Source organism: Homo sapiens, chromosome 17, assembly GCF_000001405.40.
Source record: "Homo sapiens chromosome 17, GRCh38.p14 Primary Assembly".
NCBI classification, from domain to species: domain Eukaryota; kingdom Metazoa; phylum Chordata; class Mammalia; order Primates; family Hominidae; genus Homo; species Homo sapiens.
The window spans coordinates 79,600,464-79,617,802 of record NC_000017.11 but is presented as its reverse complement, the minus strand read 5'-3'; the positions used below and the strand labels follow the sequence as shown (position 1 = coordinate 79,617,802).

Genomic DNA, 17,339 nt, shown 5'->3' with positions numbered 1-17,339 from the left:
TCATCTGTGATATGGGCGGACTGTGCAACATGACCTCTGAAGTTGCTTTCAGCTCAAAATGCGGGGATGACTTCCACGACAGTGAGACCACTGGAGGGATGAGCTCATTGGGGAGAAAAATAGGATCACCTGGGAAAATGGGACGCTGGTGTTTAGGGAGAAGCAGAGAAAGACAGGTGGAGATGCTGACGTGCAACCTCGGGAGAGAAGAGTGGGAGACGGTGCTGTGGTGGAGGATGAAGTCGAGGTTTCTAGAAAGGGACTTGGCCACGGGGCCACCTGCAGTAAAGGATCAAGTAAACCAAGGAGGGAGTGCAGGCCTGGCTGTTTGTGATTCAGCCTTCCCTGGTGACCCGAGAGAGCCATTTCCCTGGGGTGTCCGTGGGTGTGGACGTGGAGGTAGGGATGCTTGTGATCGAGGGAAGGCGAGGATGGAAGGGGAACGAGGGGAGAGAAGAGCATCTAGGGGTGCTTCTGGAAGGATGGGGAAGACCAGATAAGGTTTTTAGGCTGGTAGGCTAAGACCCCCCCATCCCCAGAGCAGGAAAGACAGAAGAGGATAGAGCAAGAGAGGGCTGGATGGAGGGAGAAAACGGAAGAAGAATTTGAAAGGGAGCAGGAAGACAAGATGAAACTAGAAGGAGGCGTGCAGGGAGAAAGCTGCTCCCACTGAAGGCTCTAGCTTCAAGGTGAAACTGTGCCACCATCTGCCAGGAAAAAAGGGTCAGGAGAAAGAGGGATGATAAACCTTGGGACTGAAGTGAAGAGCGGAGAGCCAGCCGGCGGACACAGCTGAGGCTGAGGCTGGGTGTGTGAGGGCCGAACACCTCTCTTCCAGCTATGGGACAGAGCACAGCCCGGCCCTGTGACGTCTTCATTTAAGTTAGCTGGTTGGCGTCTCTGACCTCCAAGGTCTCCTTGTGACCTACATTCCATGGAGCCCGGACAGGTGCACAACCCCTGAGAGCCCACACAGTATAAATGTTTGCACATCTGCCCCGCGTGTTTCGTGAAACAGTAGTGGGGCGTTTTGATCATACATTCCCTCAGGTCGTGTGGGGCTCTCCCTAAGTGGTATTTATTGATGCAGGACTGCACAGGGTCCCACAGCGTGCTTGGATGGTGGCCTGAAGGGGAGATCCGACACATACAACAGCGGTAGCAGGCCTGGCAGTAGTGGGGAAGTAGTAACACGTGTGTGTGTGTGTGTGTGTGTGTGTTTGTATAGAGAGAGACAGAGAGATCCATTCTTTTTTTTTTTTTTCTTGAGATGGAGTCTTGCTCTGTCGCCCAAGCCGGAGTGCAGTGGTGTGATCTTGGCTCACTGCAATCTCCACCTCCCGGGTTCAAGTGACTCTCCTGCCTCAGCCTCCTGAGTAGCTGGGATTATAGGTGCCCTCCACTTCGCCCGGCTAATTTTTGTATTTTTAGTAGAGAGGGGGTTTCGCCATGTTGGCCAGGCTGGTCTTGAGCTCCTGACCTCAGGTGGTCCACCTGCCTCGGCCTCCCAAAGTGCTAGGAATACAGGTGTGAGCCACCGTGCCCGGCCGAGAGATCCATTCTTAACAAGGAGGTTACGACTACATAGAGTAACCTTATAATTTACTCTGTTGGACTGAGAAAGCAAGCAAGGCAGCCAATGGCGGTGACATCAGCTCTCCAACGGGCCGTCGGTGCTGGCCATCTGTGGACCTCACAAGAACGTCAAAGACCAGCAAGGAAAAAGCAGGCCCCTGATCTCTTGCTTTCCTCGATCCTTCTACAGTTGCATCTTCACCTCCTTTCTATCTGTGGATGTGTCCAGTGCTGAATATGAAAGTGGGGCCATGATGTCCTTTCTGTCTGTGATGATTTGGGTCTGCTACCCTTAGACGGAGGAGCCTGGGAGAAGACAATGTGAAACTCTGGAACCGCAGCTGCCCCACGCTTTACAAGAGCCTCTTTTAGGGAGTTCTTGGGCAAGGCATGAGGGGTCCTGGGGAACCAAGGGCCTCCTTGGCTGGGGCTTCTTGCAGGTTGGTGGGCTGATGTGTGTTTTCTGTTTCTTTGTTCCCTGTGGCCACCTCCTGATGCTAAGAGTAGATCAAAGTAAATGCTTCCATGGGGCGAAATGAGGGTCTTCAGCTTACACAGGTGGCAGTGCGTGGAAAGGAAAACAGGCACTCCACTGCAACACGGCCCGAGCCGGCCGGGCACAGAGGGGAGCAGGGGCCAGGCTCACCTGGCACTGAAAGGGTGGTACAATGGCAGGAGGCATCTTGGTAGTGACAGCCCTCTACATGTCTGAGCCCTAGGCAGCTGGACATGCCACCACCCTGCTCTCATCTGGACTGGCAACCTCTTGCCCGGTACACAGCTGCCCTCCTGCCCTCCCTCCTCTCCCACTATGTGGATCCCTGCCCGCTTACTAGATCCTCTGTTTCTTCCATCCCTCATTGCCCTCTTTCATGCTTTACACCCTTGTTTTGTTAGAGCACGTCCTCTGGTAGCTGAGAGATGGTGTGTGGGAAATAATTTTGTCGAGATCTCGCATGTGCAAATGTCTTTGTTTTAATCTCACGTTTGATTGTTAATTTTGTGAAGTAAGGGATTCCAGGCCAGAAATCACTTGCCATCAGCTTTTGAAGGCACGCTTTGTGATTGGTTAGCTGCCCTCTTTGTGTTGAGAATTCTGGAGCTATTCTCGTTCCTGCTCTTTTTTATGGCACCTGGAAACTTGGGGAAACATTTTTTTTTTTTCTTCAGTGATTTACTTTTCAAGATAATGTGCCTTGATATGAATCATTTCCATCGATTTTGTGGACAATTTGGAAACTTATTTCTGGAAAAAAATTCTTAAGTAATTGATGATTTCCTTTCTTCTCCTCCTCCTCCTTCTCTCTGGGGGCCCTATGGGGGTCGGGGTTAGAATTCCTTTTGTGTTGAGCCTCGTGAATTGATCATCTAGTTTTTTTTCATCCCCTCTTTCTTCTTTTTCTCCTCTTTGCCTTTTTGCTTTGCCTTCTGGGGCATTCCCTTACTTTTCTCTTCCAGCCTGTCTGTTGAGATGTTTTGTTTCTGCTCTCATGCTTTTAACTTCCCAGCTTTTTTGTTCTCTAAATGTTCTCCTTAAAATAGCACCCTGCTCTTGGTTCATGGATGCGGTATCTCCTCTGATCTCTGGGAGGATATTAAATACTGCTATTTCTGATGTTTTCTCCTCCCTGCCTAATATCTGTTTCCTCGAAGTCGGCCCCGCTCTGTTGCGTGTTTTGGCGGCTCCTTCTCATGAAGGCTTTCCGCAGGTGTCTGGTCATCCTTGGCTTTTTACTCACCTTAGGGGGGCTGCAAAGCTGGTTGGCAGCTCCGAGCAGGGAGTGGGGCCTGTGCTTGGAAGCAGCAAAGCTCTATCTTCAGGTTTCCCCTCTGGGTGCTGGTGAGATTCCCCAGAGGAGATTCTTCCGGCCTCCTGCCAGGAGGGTGGAGGTCAGGATGCTGACAGGTGCCGTGAGGGAAAAGGGGGGCTCTCCGTGCAGGACGCCCCTCTGTCCGCAGTGTCTGGCGGCCCCCAGGCCACAGAGGCTGCTTCAGTGTCCTCAGGGAATAAACCTCCAGAGGGGCTATCCGAGGATCTCCAGGCTTCCCCGGGTCTTGGGCCCCACGCCTTCTGAGCCTTCGGGGGATTCCATTGTCAGCCTTCCCTGCCTCTGGGCCGAGACTCAGCTCCGTGAGGGCGGGCCGCCACTTCTCCTGTGCCTCCCCGCTGCCCACAGCCGGCTACTGTTCTCTTTTCTCCTATTCTCCAGGTCGTTGGGGTTTATGCCTTTTTAAAGTTATTCTTATTTGAGATGGAAGTCTCACTCTTGTTGTCCAGGCTGGAGTAGTACAGTGGCGCGATCTCGGCTCTCTGCAACCTCCACCTCCCGGATTCAAGTGATTCTCCTGCCTCAGCCTCCCAAGTAATTGGGATTACAGGCACCCACAACCACACCTGGCTAGTTTTGCTATTTTTAGTAGAGACGGCGTTTCACCATGTTGGCCAGGCTGGTCTCGAACTCCTGACCTCAGGTGATCCACCCACCTCAGCCTCCCAAAGTGCTGGGATTACAGGCTTGAGCCACCATGCCCAGCCCCTTTTTAAAATTTTCTCTTTGTAGTTTTAGTGGGATTTTTCAGAGGGCACGAAATTAGCTCTGTGCCTTCAGTCGTCCTGTTGGCCCCAAGCCCAGTCTCCCTGTGTTTCTCTCCTAATGATTATTACCAAGGACTCCCCAGTCCTCCCCATGTGCTCACTTTTTAAAAATTAAAGTTTCCAAATCAGAGGTTTTAAAAATTCTCTTAGATGACGTCCCCAAATGGAAAATCTCCCGGTTAGTGCTGGTATGTCCTGCTGGCCCTGACACTTACTCTCTTCCGGCCAGATCCCTGTCTACGACAGCTGAGCACGAAGGGCAAACTCTCTGGGGCTGGTAATGAGGCCGGCCTGGCTGGGGCCTGTTCCCAAGGGGTGTCCTCACGCGCAGGCCCTGTGGCCAGTCCCAACCACAGAGGCCAATTTCAGTTTACCACCCGGGCGTCTGAGCAGGCCCACCGTGTCCTGAGTCCTGGGCTGGGACTGGTGGAACTTGGAACAAGATTTGGTGCTGTCTTCAGAGAGCTCTTCCAGAACGTCCCCAAGGAATGATTTACCGGGCCCTATGCTTTGCAGGGACCCCTCTTCCACTCGGGCACACAGCTCTGCCAGGTCAATGTGTCCCCACTTCACAGGCACATGCAGAACTCGCATGGGGAGCTGAAGGGAGACGGAGATGGGCTCGAATCCCACTCTTCGAGAGGTTTCTGCGAGGAGGCTCCAAAGGGCAGTAGGGTCTGGACCAGAGAGGAAAAGGCTCCCCAGGGAGAAGAAATGTGGGCAAGGGACAAGCGGGACCGACAGGGGGCACTGCCGGCACAGCGAGGCAAGAGCCCTGCCTGCAGGGAGACAGGTGCCTGCCAGGCAGTGGCTGGGCCCAGCCGGGAGTTGGAGGCCACGAAAGCCTGGACCATCTGACAGCAGAGAACCAAGAGGCCCAATTAGGGCTTTAGAGCTGGAATGCGCCATTTCAAATCCGGTGGCAGGGGAAAGTTCAGTCAACCAGGCGGCTGCCTTGCTCGTAGACACGGCATTTATCTGGTGGTTAGCTGTGGGGCTGTTTAGCTGTATGCTTGGAATTGTATAACACGATTCCCACCGGCCAAGACAGATCAATGACCCAGACGGGCTGGAGGGCCAGAAATTAAAAGCATGACGCTCATAAGTGGGCAGCGGCCACTGTCTTGGCCACCGTCTCTGCTGCCCTGCAGGGGGGGCAGCCAGCAGCCCAGAGCCCCTACTACCGAGAAGCTCCAAATCCATACTCCCCTCTTCCTGGCCTCTGGGTCTTCCAGGCCCCTACCAAACCCCAGATTCCATGATGTGCTTTTCACCTCACACAGAAAAGCAGGACAGTCAGGTGCGAGGAGGAGGCTAATTGTTCCAGGAGCAGCCTTCAGGAGCAAAAGTGACATGGGGACGGGTTTGGATCTGTTTGTGTGTAATTTGGAAATGTCCTTCGATGGTGCAGGCTCGTTTCTCCAGCCTGGTTGCTGCACCAGAATGTCTTTTGTTTTGGAAATGATTACTCAGCCTCCTGCCTAAACCTGTTTGGGACCGTCCAGACCTTCTTGCCCACTTCTGGTGTTGTGTGCCAGTGGTGGGCTGACCCCAGCAATAGATCTCTCCTGCCTTTCCAGAGGGTCCCCACTCCACTGTGTCCTCAGCCTCTGCTCTCCTGCTCCCTCTGCACCAAGGATAGAGACCCTCCCAGAACTCACACCAGGCCCCTTACTCTAGATGCTGGGGGAGGCTGGGACTGGGGACAGGAGCTACCTGATCTTTTGATTTTAGGGAAATCCTAAGCTGACCTCCCACAGTCCTTCCTCTCCAGCCAGGCACAGGTGGAAATGTTTAAATGGGTTGGGTTGGCCAATCTGGACTAACAGCACGGAGTGGGCCCGATCCCTTCCTTTCCAGTGGTCCTCCAGGAAGTCAGGGCACCTGGGCCTAGTGAGGGGGTTTGGGGTATGTGGGCAACTCAAAGGCATGGCATGGCATGCGGGGTGGGGTGGCATTCGTCCCTGATGCTTGGTGACCACGTCCCATTGCTGGGGATCCCTGGGCCTGGCAAAGAAAAATGGCCCCCAGGGACAGCGAGGCACAAGGGCAGGGGTCCTGTTAAGGGTCACCTGGGTTGATCCGCCCCCAAGATAGCTTGGAGGTGGGGAGGGGCAGCGGGCTTGGGGCTGCCCTTGAAGGGACCAGGGCAGCACTGGGTTCTGGGATCTTCCGTGTGTACCCCACCTCTTCTGTGCCCCTGCCCCGAGGAGTTGGCGCTGAAGGCTGCAGGGTGCTGACCGCCGAAGCCCACCCGGTCATGGCTCTCCCCGCTCCGCCGCCCTCCCCGGCCGCGCGACAGCCAGAGCCCCCTCCCATGCCGCGCGCTGCGCGCTCCGCTCGAGCTGCCACCGCCGCCCGCGCCGCCGCCGCGTGCTCCTGCTGCCGCCTCGCTCCAGCCGAACGAGCCAGAGGAACGAGAGAGAGAGAGAGAGAGAGAGAGAGAGAAGGAGGGCGGAGAGAGAGAGAGAGAGAGAGAGAGAGAGAGAGAGAGAGAGAGAAGGAGGGCGGAGAGAGGAGGGAGGAGAGAGAGAGAGAGAGGAGGCGAGGGAAGAGCGAGCGCGGGGCTGCTCCGAAGCCAGCAGAACCTCCTCGGACAGCGGCCCCAGCCGGGCCCCAGCAGCTCGCGTGGTCGGAGGAGAAGCAGCTGCCACAGCTGCCGCCCGAGCCCGGCCTCGCGCGCCCCTTGCCGCTGGCTCGCCGGTGCCTGTGCGGCCCCAGGACGCCGCTGCCCGCTCGGCGGCCGGGATGCAGCCGGGGCATGGCCGCCGGCCCCCAGTCACCTGCCGCGGGGAGCGCTGAGCCCGTGAGTAGCCTGGCCTCGTCGCCCGCCTCGCTCTGCGGCGGTCATTCCCATCGGGCTGAGCTGGGGGAGGGGGACATGGCCGCGGAGGGGCGCATGGGACCCCGCAGTGGGAGGCGGGCTGCTGAGCGCGGCCGGGGCTGACCCGAGGGCGCGTGGGGTGGGGTGGCGCCCTCGGGGTCAGGGGTCCCTGCGCGGGGTCGGGGTCCCTGGGTCCCTCCGGGGCTGGGGTCTGGACGCTCTGTCCGGCCGTGGGCCAGAGGGGCGATTTTGTGAATGGGAAGGCCCGGGGGTCGGGCTCCATGGAGACGCCAGGGAGTCCCGCGCGCTGCGTGGCGGTGGCAGTGGCGGTGGCGGTGGCGGTGGTGGTGGCTGTGGCGGCGGCGGCGGCGGCACAATGCCCGGCGCGGGGAACTCCCCGGCGGGGGGAGGCAGAGGCGCGCGGAGATCCCGGCCCCGCGGGGCGCGTCCGAGCAGGCAGCCGGAGCCCGCGCGGGTGGGAGAGAGGCTGGCGACCCGGCGGTGGTGCAACGTGCGTCTGTCGCGGCACCCAGGCCCGGAGAGAGCCCTGCCGGGGTCCTCTGAAAGGAGGGTCGCTGAGAGGTTGATGACCCAAAGGAGTTGTGGGGAGGAAGGGGCTGCCACAGCTCCCCAAATAGGAGCGGGGCCCGCAGCACCGCGGTGTGCGCGGGGGCCGAGCAGCGAGGGGCGAGCGGCGCGCAGGGCCCTACAGGGGGCGGGCTGGGGGCGCTCCGGGCCGAGTCCCCAAGCACGATAGGAAGGCTGGAACGGGAGCAGAGGCTGCCTCTCTGAAGCCTCGGCCACCCCCAGGGCCTCGAGCAGCGCGGCCGGGCTGGGAAAGCCGGGCACGCCCCTGGCCCAAACTTTCTGCCCTGGTGGCCCCGGGCGGTGGTGGGGCTCGCCCGGGGCGTGTTGGGCTCGCACGCTCGGGAAGGTGGTCTTCTGTGGCGTCTCGGGGTGGCGCGAGGCCAGTGGTCATTTTGGTGCTGGGGGTCGCAGCCTCCCTCCCCGGGACGCGGAGCCTCCCCTGGCGCGCAGCCCTGCAGTGTCGGTGCGGGGACCGAGACGCGGCGCCCCGCGTGGAGGGGCATTGGGAACCTGTCGGGTCCCCAAGCGGCCCTGGGATCCCTGGTATCACGTAGGGTGGGGGTGGGATGTTCCCGGAGTCCACTGGTGGGGGCGGGGGCCCAGCGAGGTGGGGAGAAACTCCTGGACAACAGAGCTGCCTCCCCCTCCCCTTTCCGTTCCAGCTTTGGCGAGGTACCTGATTTATTTAATGATCACTTTTAAAAAGGAGTCCCGCGGAGCCGCTAGTCCCGACGCGCGAGACACCCCACGGTGGAGGCTAAGGACAGAGACCCAAGGGATCCATCCCTGGGTTTAAGTCCCCCTTCCTGCCCCAGCTGGTGGTGAAGTCGCTTCTCGGGCGCGCAGGTTGCTAATTTCCTGCTCCAAACGCAGGTTGGACTCGGGGACGCCTTGGGCATGCACCCGGGCGCCCCGGGCACTTAGCGTGGAGCAGGTAGGAGGCTAATGGAGTGGGGTCGCCCGTAATGAGGTCTTTCAGCCGGAAGCCGGCTTCGGTTTTACTGGTCTGCAAAACATAATGGAAAAAAAAAGTATAAACATTGCGGCAGAACCTGCTCATTAAGTGTGCATCGCGGATTCGGGACGGATGTCTTAATTAGGCTGCGTTGTTCACGGGGATATTACACTAATTAAAAACCGACCCTCCAGGTGAGCAAAAATTGTGAGGGGAGAGAGGGAGAAAAGTTGTCGAGAAGGCGCTGCCTGATGAAAGCCGGGTATGGGCCTCTTGCAGGGGCGCCCCAGGTCACTGAGCGCCGGCGGGGTGGGGGCGTGGGGGCGGCATGGCGGGGGCGGAGGAGGGGAGCCTTCTTAGAACCATCCCGGCGCGCCTTCCTTCTCCGCCTCCTGCGGGCGAGGAGCTCCCTTTGGCCGAGGACCGAGGCTGGCCCCCCCGCCCCTCCCCCAGGACTGGAGGCCTTCCTGCGTGGGCGCCTCGCTCACCGCTCACCGCACACTCCTGGAAGCAACGCTTAACCCTTCATTTCCTGGCTGACAGCTTCTGGGAGGGCAAGGCTGTCCCCAGGAGGGAGACAGAGCGGGTGACGTGGGGACCACTGAAGGGGTTAAGGAGCAAGAAGCACGGTTGAAGGGACGCACCCAAGCCGAGACAGCCTGGGCCTGGCGAGGTGGCTGCGTGCGTGCGGCAGGGGTTGCCACTGGTGCTGGGCTGTTTGCGCTTGCACGGCCGGGGTTTTCTGGGGTGAGTTGTCCATTTCTAGCAGCTATCCACCCTCCTCCCCCCAAAGAAAAAAGGGAACCTGGGTGATTGCTTTGATCCACCTTCCTCAGGGGCCTGGGGCCTAGAGAGACCCGTGCCCACCCCGGGGACCTCGGGTCGCCTCTGGGTGCCAGGAGGAGCCAGGAGTCCAGGGAAGTCCCTAGGCTCCGCCCCTTACTCGGATGGGCCTTTGCGGCAAATGCTCCGCACCCAGTGACCTCGGTTGGGAGCCACAGCGGGGCTGGGAGTATTCACTGCCCTTCCGCAGGGACCAGAGGCGGATGTCGAGGGAAGGTGGCGGCATGGGCGGCCCCTGCCTCTGAGTGGCTCAGCAGGCACTCAGCGGGCGCCAGCACCAAGGACAGGGCCGGGGCCTCCACAGCCTGCCCTCCTCGCCCTCCCTCCTCTGACACGGTCCCAGGGCCGCTGGAGGCGCTGCGGGCGGCCGCCCTCAGGCTGCTGAGGACATGGGGAGGGCTCCCGAGGCTCATTCAAGAGCCAGAAAAGCCCAGGGCCTGCGAAGAGGTAATTACAGCAAGGAGGCCTCCTGGGTACCATTCCAGAGTGGGCCTTCTGTCCTGCGCCTGTCACTTACTCAACTTGGAGCGTGGCTGATGGCGCATCGGTGAAATGGAGAGATTATCGGGCTCTTTGGTGTCTAGGGATGAACTAGACACTGTAGTGGCCAGAGAAAATGCCATCTTCCCTGGCTGGTTCAGCCCTGTTGCCTCTCCCCTGCAGCCTTCTTTGACACCTCTCTCCCAGCCACATTCAGCCCTGGCCTAAGGCGCCTTCATACCGATGTGTGGCAGTTGGAGGTGCCTTGCTGCTGAGGGCAGGGGCCCTGCTTGGTTTATCTGCCCCCTCCCCCATATACGCAGATGGTGTTCTGACCCATGATGCCTGTGCAATTCGGAAGGAAGGAATGCATAAGTCACGCTCCTATCCCTCCCAGAAGCGCCAGAGTGGTGGTGGTAGGGGGTGGGGGGCAGTAAAGAGAGGAAAACATGTCAGTGGGCCAGAGCCACAGTGCTGAACGCGAAACTGCAATATTATTTTTCAGCCCTTGCAGGGTGGGGCTTCCCTCCTCTAGCCCAGCCCAGCCCAGAGCCTGCAAGTTTTGGTCGGTTGTCTCCCTGTGTTTATTTATTTCCACGCTCCTGCTTGATACTCTGTTATAAAGACAAATGGAACCTGACACGCAGCTGACATTTGGTGAGGAATTTTTTATTTTTAAACAAGTGAAGGGGAAGAAGCCATCTTGAAACTTTCTCCCCCTTCAACAGAGACCCGTTTGTTGGTTGGTAGGGAACCTACCATTCCCTAAATCCCTGCCTGCCACAGGCCCCTGCTCCTGGCACAAGGCACCGGCTTTATAAACACATCCCGTTTGTACCTCCACCCTTTGATAAGCTGCAGCATCTCTCCACGCTCTTTCATAAAGCAGCGCGGTATTTTCACAGGCTCATGAAACATTCAGGCAGCCTCAACATCTTACTTTCTGCTGCCTCTCTGAAGAAGGTTGCTCCCTGAGCCATCCCTGTCCTCTATAACGTCCTGGGTCTATCTCCCTGTCTCCCTGTCCGTCTATCTCTTCCTCTCCCCAACTCTTTTTTCCTCCTGTGCTTTCTGAGTGGCGCGGATGCTTAGTGTGTGATTGCCTCCTTGTGTGACCTGTGAGGGTTGAGGACGGCTCTTGGTTAACAGTTGCATGGCGGGCATGCAAGGAGCATTGCACACATACATATGCTGTGCATACCCGGCGGGGCCTGTTCTGGGTTGGGGACCCACAGACAGACGAGTCACCTCCCTTCAAGAAATACCACGTGACACAGACTGATTTGGTGTATAAAATAGACATTTTTAAGTGCAATGCACTTAGTAAATTAGTTTGCTATCACAGTTTCTCCAACACATAGACTGACACCAAAACACGCCTTAGAGGGAGGCTGGAATAATAAAGAGTATAAAGTCTGTTAGTTTATTTGTAGCTCGGGGCGAGCTCAGTCTATCAGTTGCATTTTGAAAAGTGTGGCCAGGGTCTAGGTGGAAGGAGTCATTCTGGATGCGTCTTGCCCGGGTACCACGGGAGTCCCCCTCTTGGCCTGGGAAAGGACCATCCACCATCTTTAATTTAGGGGCCTAGGGATGTGCTCCACTGTGTGATAGGACTCCTATAGAAATTACAAGTGCTAAGTGGACAAGTATGTTTTCTCCCAAAGCAAAGGCCACCTCTTGGGTGCAGGGAGCTTGGTGTCATCAGGCCTCTGATCCTGGCCCTTACCTGTAAGACACGTGGGGGCCTTGACTGTTCTGGTCAGGCCCAGGCGTCCTTCTGGTTTCTTCCTGGTCTCTAGACAGACCAGCAGCTTGAGGTGGTCTCCTTGCCCCTCCTCTCCCTTCTCACTGCTGCTGCCCCTGCCAACTCACTGCACTCGAAACATTGACAAGACTGTGGTATCGAAGGCTCTGCAGTCAGGGGATAGGGGGCAGAAGAACAAGGGATGGGGTGCTCTCCTCTGTGGGGAGTGTTCCCCTTGTGGGTAGAGAAAGCTGCGGCTTGGGGAAGCTTTTTAGAAGTGAAAATCAGTCTTCCCTTGGATCCGTCTCCACTCCTTCCGTGTAGGTTGGGGCCAGGGCTCGTGGGTTCCACCTGAGAGGTGGGTTGTAACTTGCTGGCGTCAACTTGAGTTGGGGGTCCTCAGCCTCCGTGGTTTCCTCTTAGGACCAAGAGCCAAGCACTTGCTACTGCAAGTTTTCTTTTAAGGTTTAATTATTTGTGCTCAGAACATATTCCCAGCAGAAAAAAGAAAGAGGAAGAATATATGTATTTTTAGCAGGAATTTACTTGCTTATTGCTTTGGTTAGCGGCTGTGCTGAGAGCTTTCTCCCAAGACTCCAGAAGAACAGAGGCCTAGGCGGAGCAACCGCTCTGTACCTGGCCGTCTCCCTACTGGACCCACCGCTGGTCATCAGCTCTGTATGCGCAGGTCTCTGCGTGGCTGGCTGCTCCATATTTGGGGAGGTGAGCCCACCCTGCCTTGAACGCTGGGCTGTGAGTGGAAGCCAGCTGGCGAGGAAGGTGGCCGGGTATGTCTATTTTAGCCCTTTTAGAAAATAATCCCATTTGCAGGCAAGGAAACTGCCTGAGCATAGAAAGCTGCCACCAGCCAGCCCCTGAACAGTTTCAAGTCCTTGTTTGGGGGCCCAGTTGAGATCATAACATGTATCTTTTGTGCCAGAGCGGAGAATCCTGTGTGCCAAGGCATCTTGTCTTGCTCCAAAATTCTCCCTCCATCAAAACAAACAAACAAAGGTAACCCGGACCTCCAGATCAGATTCTCTTCTGCAGGGCCACCAATACAGTAGTGGAGGCAGTGTGCCACGCAAACCAAGGGCGCATTCAGAGTTCTGCCCTTGAGCAGCCCGAACACCATGGACTGCAGTCCTTCTCATCCACGTCTCCTTGTCTATGACACCAGGTGAGACCCAGGGATGAAGATGGCAGGAATGGTGTCCCTGGAGTCCAGGTGCTTCTCCTGCCCTTGCTCTCATCCTGCAGTTCACATCCTTGGACACCAAGCAAATGCCGATTCCTGGGCCAGGCTCATGTCTCCGGATCGTTTGCTTTTAGGCAACGGTCATGAGAACATGGAGGAGCAGGCTATCCTCAGCAATGAGATTTTTGATGGAAAAATGGGAACCTCTTTTGGAGCCAAAGGACATAGGGTTTCCTTGTATTAGGAAGGTCCACAATTTGGAGAAAGATTTAAAGCAAGTACAAACACCCTGGTACCTTTAGAAATCATTTCTCACTAAACTTTCATAGCTCCAAACTCTTAATGCAAATTAGAGGTTTCTCTCCTGGATTACATCAAAAACAACTCCTATTTTTCTGGAACTTTTGAGGGCTGGGGGCTGGCTGAAGCTCCAGGGTCTGTTCCTAAGAGCTTCTGGGCACCTTGGAATCAAGCACCTGCTGGTGACCTCTTCTTCCCCACCCCACCCCAGCCCACCCCACTTTTTAAAAAGCAATGGCAAGAAGGGCTTTGTAGCTTTTTGTTTTCAGCAGCGAGGTGTGAGGATGACTTTTTAATGTATCACCTGGGAGAGCCGCACACACCGGTATGTCCCGACATTACCCGTCACCTTGAGATCCGAGCAAAAAAAGGAAACCCAGAATATGCTTTAAACTGGGTCCATGCACAGGCTCCTGATGGGCTCTGCAAAGCCTAATGACTTGGTGTTGACACCTGCCCTTCACCCTGGAGGTGTGGCTGAGTCTTCACTCAGTTAGTTTCCTTATTCATGGGAGGTTCTGAGGTTGTACATCTTGGCAGCTCCCCACTCCCATCAGCTGATTCTTACAAGAATCACCCTTTGCCCGTGGGCACACACAGTTACATGCACATTGAAATGGAAGTGACTTCTGAGCAAGGCGGTATGTCAGTTACCTTTCATGAGCTCTTAAAGCCCATCAGGGCCGGCCGCACAACCTGTGGGTGTGGTGAGTGGATTCGGCCTGCACCTGCTGGCTGGTGGGCGGGCTCTGTGCAGGGACAGCCTGAGGCCGGAGCTGACCTCTGATGGTGGCAGGGTTGCCTGCAGCATACCGCTGGGGAGGGCGTGCACCCTTCCCAGCCTTGCCACCCAGGGCAGGCTCTGGAACCTCAGTTTACCCTGCTGAGAAGCAGGGACTGCTGCGTGGATCAGGCGATCTATGTAAAGCCGCTGATGTGGTGAGTGGGACCCTTCCCTGGGGCTATCCACCTAGTAGAGGAACGAGCATGTTGCTAGGGTTCGGAAGGGTCAGGGTTAAGGAATGGATTCCAAACTGTTCCCTGTGGGTATAATTATGAGGCTGCTTTAATAGAGCTCGCTTTAAAAGATAAACTTGCAGATGTAAGGATGGAAACAACCCTTAGCATGTCTCTATAGAGAGGTTGGGGTCTGAGGGGACCCTCACTCCCTTGGGTGGCCTGGAAGGGCTCCCTGGAGCAGCCCCCAGCAGCTCATGTCCTTAGGAACACCCCGAAGCCAGGCAGAAAGAAGTAAGGTCCTGTCTGTGGGGCCGTGGACTCAGTTGTTACCCGGGTCAGGCCATCCAGGGGATAACAGGGCTCCTGCCTGTGCTGTGTCCCCTCAATGGGCCCGGTGTGCTCTCCCCATGCCTCCACTGCCAGCGGGGTGTCAAGAGTACCACAAGGAGGCCAGGGCAGGGTGTCTCACGCCTGTAATCCCAGCACTTTGGGAGGCCGAGGCAGGGAATCACCTGAGGTCAGGAGCTCAACACCAGCCTGGTCAACATGGTGAAACCCCATCTATACTAAAAGTACAAAAAATTCGCTGGGTATGATGGTGCACGCCTATAATCCCAGCTACTCAGGAGGCTGAGGCAGGAGAATCACTTGAACCTGGGAGGTGGAGGTTGCAGTGAGCCAAGATCATACCGCTGCACTCCAGTCTGGGCAACAGAGCAAGACTCCCCCTAAAAAAAAAAAAAAAAAAAAAGGGTAGCTCAAGGAGAGAGGGGCACTGCAGCAGGTCCTCTTGCTTTTGCAAAGGGAGTGGCATTGGATCATCAGAGATGAGGCTCCAGACCATGCCAGTTGGATTTCCCATGAGGGAGAGGAAAGGAAGCAGGATCATGGCCTCCCTCCCCCAGCCCTTCCCGGGCTCCTCTGAGCCTATAGTTTGCTGCCACATCGCTTACCGCGCAGGCTGAGGGATTCCAGCTCACCCCTGCCTTCCGTGTGGATATATGTTTTTGGATCTCAGTTCTCAACCCATGAAAAACCGAAGCACAGCTTTGCAAAGCCCATTAGAAAAAAAAAACAAAGTGTGTGCTTTTATTCTTTCTGGAGTATTGACTATCATTGATGTCATGCCATTAGGCACAGCTGGGGGCCTCACGGCAGGGACAGGTGAAGTGGAACTAGAGACCCGAGGGGTTGCTTCCACAGGCTCCTTATAGACCTGGGACGGGGCGTGTGGTTCACCGGCCATCCTGGCTGCGTGCCCCCAGCTGCTGGGGAGAAGACCGACAGTGGTTGGTTGTGTTCCTCGCAGGGGTGCTATCCAAGGGTACATTATTCAAGTATTTTGGAATCTTAGCAGAAAAGAGAAGAAATTTAAGGTGAGAATTACTGTTGTCAGTGGCGTAACATTATAATCAACACTCCCAGACAGCCAACGCTGTGTCGAGCTTTATCGTCCAGAAGTCTGTTTGATATCTTGACAGCTGGGAACCTTCAGCTGATGGCCAAAGGGCGGGAGGGAGAGCAGGTGGACGATGGCCTGTGTTTGATGGGGGAGCCTGTTACCCTTTTCCTTACCATTAAAGCCTTGTGACGTTGTCTGGGACAACTTTATAGGATGATTAAAGGCCGTCTTCCAGCGGGTACATTTTTCTTTCTCACCGGCAGATCTCATCTAGGACAGCTGAGAAGGATACACCTAGAATCTGCATGCTTTTAACTCTATCGGCATCCCCAGGCCACAGACAGGAGACTTTCTGCAGATCTGCACTTTGTGTTGGAAAATACGTCTGCTTGTGTGTGTGCGTCGGCAGCATTGCCATAACCAGCATTCACTTTCCTGACTTGCCCAGGCTGCAGCATGCAAGATGAGTGTCGCATGGGTACCTCCCCGCCTCTTGGACTTTTAAAATAGAGCCGTCTCTCCAGAACAGACGGGCACAACTAAGGCCAGATCACTGATAACAGTATCAGTATCTACATGCTAAAGACACAGCCCGCCCCCTTCCCATGGGGTTCTTTCCTTGGCAGAAGTCACCAAGGAGACTGACTTTGGGAGAAGTAATTTCTCCCCCTTCCGGATATGTTTTGCTTAAAACCTAAGAAGAAAACTCACAAGACCAGACTAGGAAAATTTCAGCCCCCAAGGATAATTTTTCAGAAAGTAATGAGCACTGGAAAATGAGGGCTATAAAGGAAGTCTTTAGGTAATAATCATAACTATAATGTTCACCACTTTGAAGTGCATTAATATATACTAAAATTACAGAAAATATTAAGTCTGCTGCAGGGGAAGGGGGCGTGCTTTGGAGCTTGTGGCTAAACCTCCTGGACCAGCTCTGTTCTCCCGGCCACAGCTGGGGCTATGTGGCCCCTGGCCTGTCCCTGCCCTCACAGAGACACCCACCCTAAGAGAGGATCCTGTGCCCCTAGCTGGGGTCCAGTTGCAGACACCGTGAATGTGGGATGGAGAATCAGTATCCCCCGCAGCGGGCTCCTTTTGGGGCTGTGATGTTTTATAGCCTGGCAAGGGAATGCCAAGACTCCCTGAGGGTCTGGCTCACTTTATCAGGGTCCCGCTGCTTGAGAGCAGGAGCCTGGGAGGCGAGGTGTGTAGACGCCCCAGCCGGGGCCCCTCGAGGCTGCAGTCGGGCTGAGGCATTCATTCCTCCGCAGGGGCCCCGGGGCGGGAGCAGCGGGAGCATGGCCATGTCGGCTGCTTGCTTTCTCCTGCTGCCTGGCTCTCTCTGTTCCCCTCCTGACCCCCTTCTGCCTCTCCTGCGTTCCCCTTCCTCACTCCCCTCCTTCACCTTCAGAGCCAGCGGACTTCTCCAGGCTGCACGCAGGCGAGGGGCTGGCAATTGCAGGTCAAGCAGGCTCAGCTCGGAGCAGCGGGAGGAAAGATTTACGGTTCCTCCCTGCCCTGCTTGATGGACAATTAAAGCCGTGCATGGTTGGAGGAGAGCAGTGTCGTGAAGAGTCAGGATGGTCAGAATAAATCAGTCACCTCCACTTAGACGGCTGAGCTAGACTGCTTCCCCGGGCCTTCGAGGTGGGAGCCCCCTGGGGTGTGGCTTTGAAGGTTCCTGAATGGACTGTTCAAGGGTTTGACATACTCTGAGCTCCATCAGAGTCAGAGCCTGAAGACCCCGGGGGTCTCCTCACAAATGGGGCATGTGCTGTAGGGAATTAAGGGAAAATTCTGGATAATGTGTTTAGAGGGCGTTTTGTCTCCATGGTATCTGGCATTTGCAAGAGCCTCAAACCTGAATGTTTGGA

At 56.2% G+C, this 17,339-nt stretch overlaps 1 protein-coding gene across 36 annotated transcripts in view; it reads left to right on the top strand.

Annotated features, from left to right (window-relative positions):
- Nucleotides 1–17,339, top strand: part of RBFOX3 (RNA binding fox-1 homolog 3) — a 576,227-nt gene that overhangs the window by 47,769 nt on the left and 511,119 nt on the right. For 27 of the 36 annotated variants that reach the window (NM_001385842.1, XM_047435405.1, NM_001350453.2 and 24 more), the window contains exon 1: nt 6,752–6,977. The exons of 5 other annotated variants lie outside the window; for them this stretch is intronic. The gene's annotated coding sequence lies outside the window, so the exon portion shown is untranslated. Of the gene's footprint in view, nt 1–6,751; nt 6,978–8,641; nt 8,733–9,189; nt 9,286–13,928; nt 14,043–17,339 lie in introns of those variants that run through there. 4 more of the 36 variants (NM_001385840.1, NM_001385809.1, NM_001385831.1 and 1 more) reach the window with 3 other exon arrangements.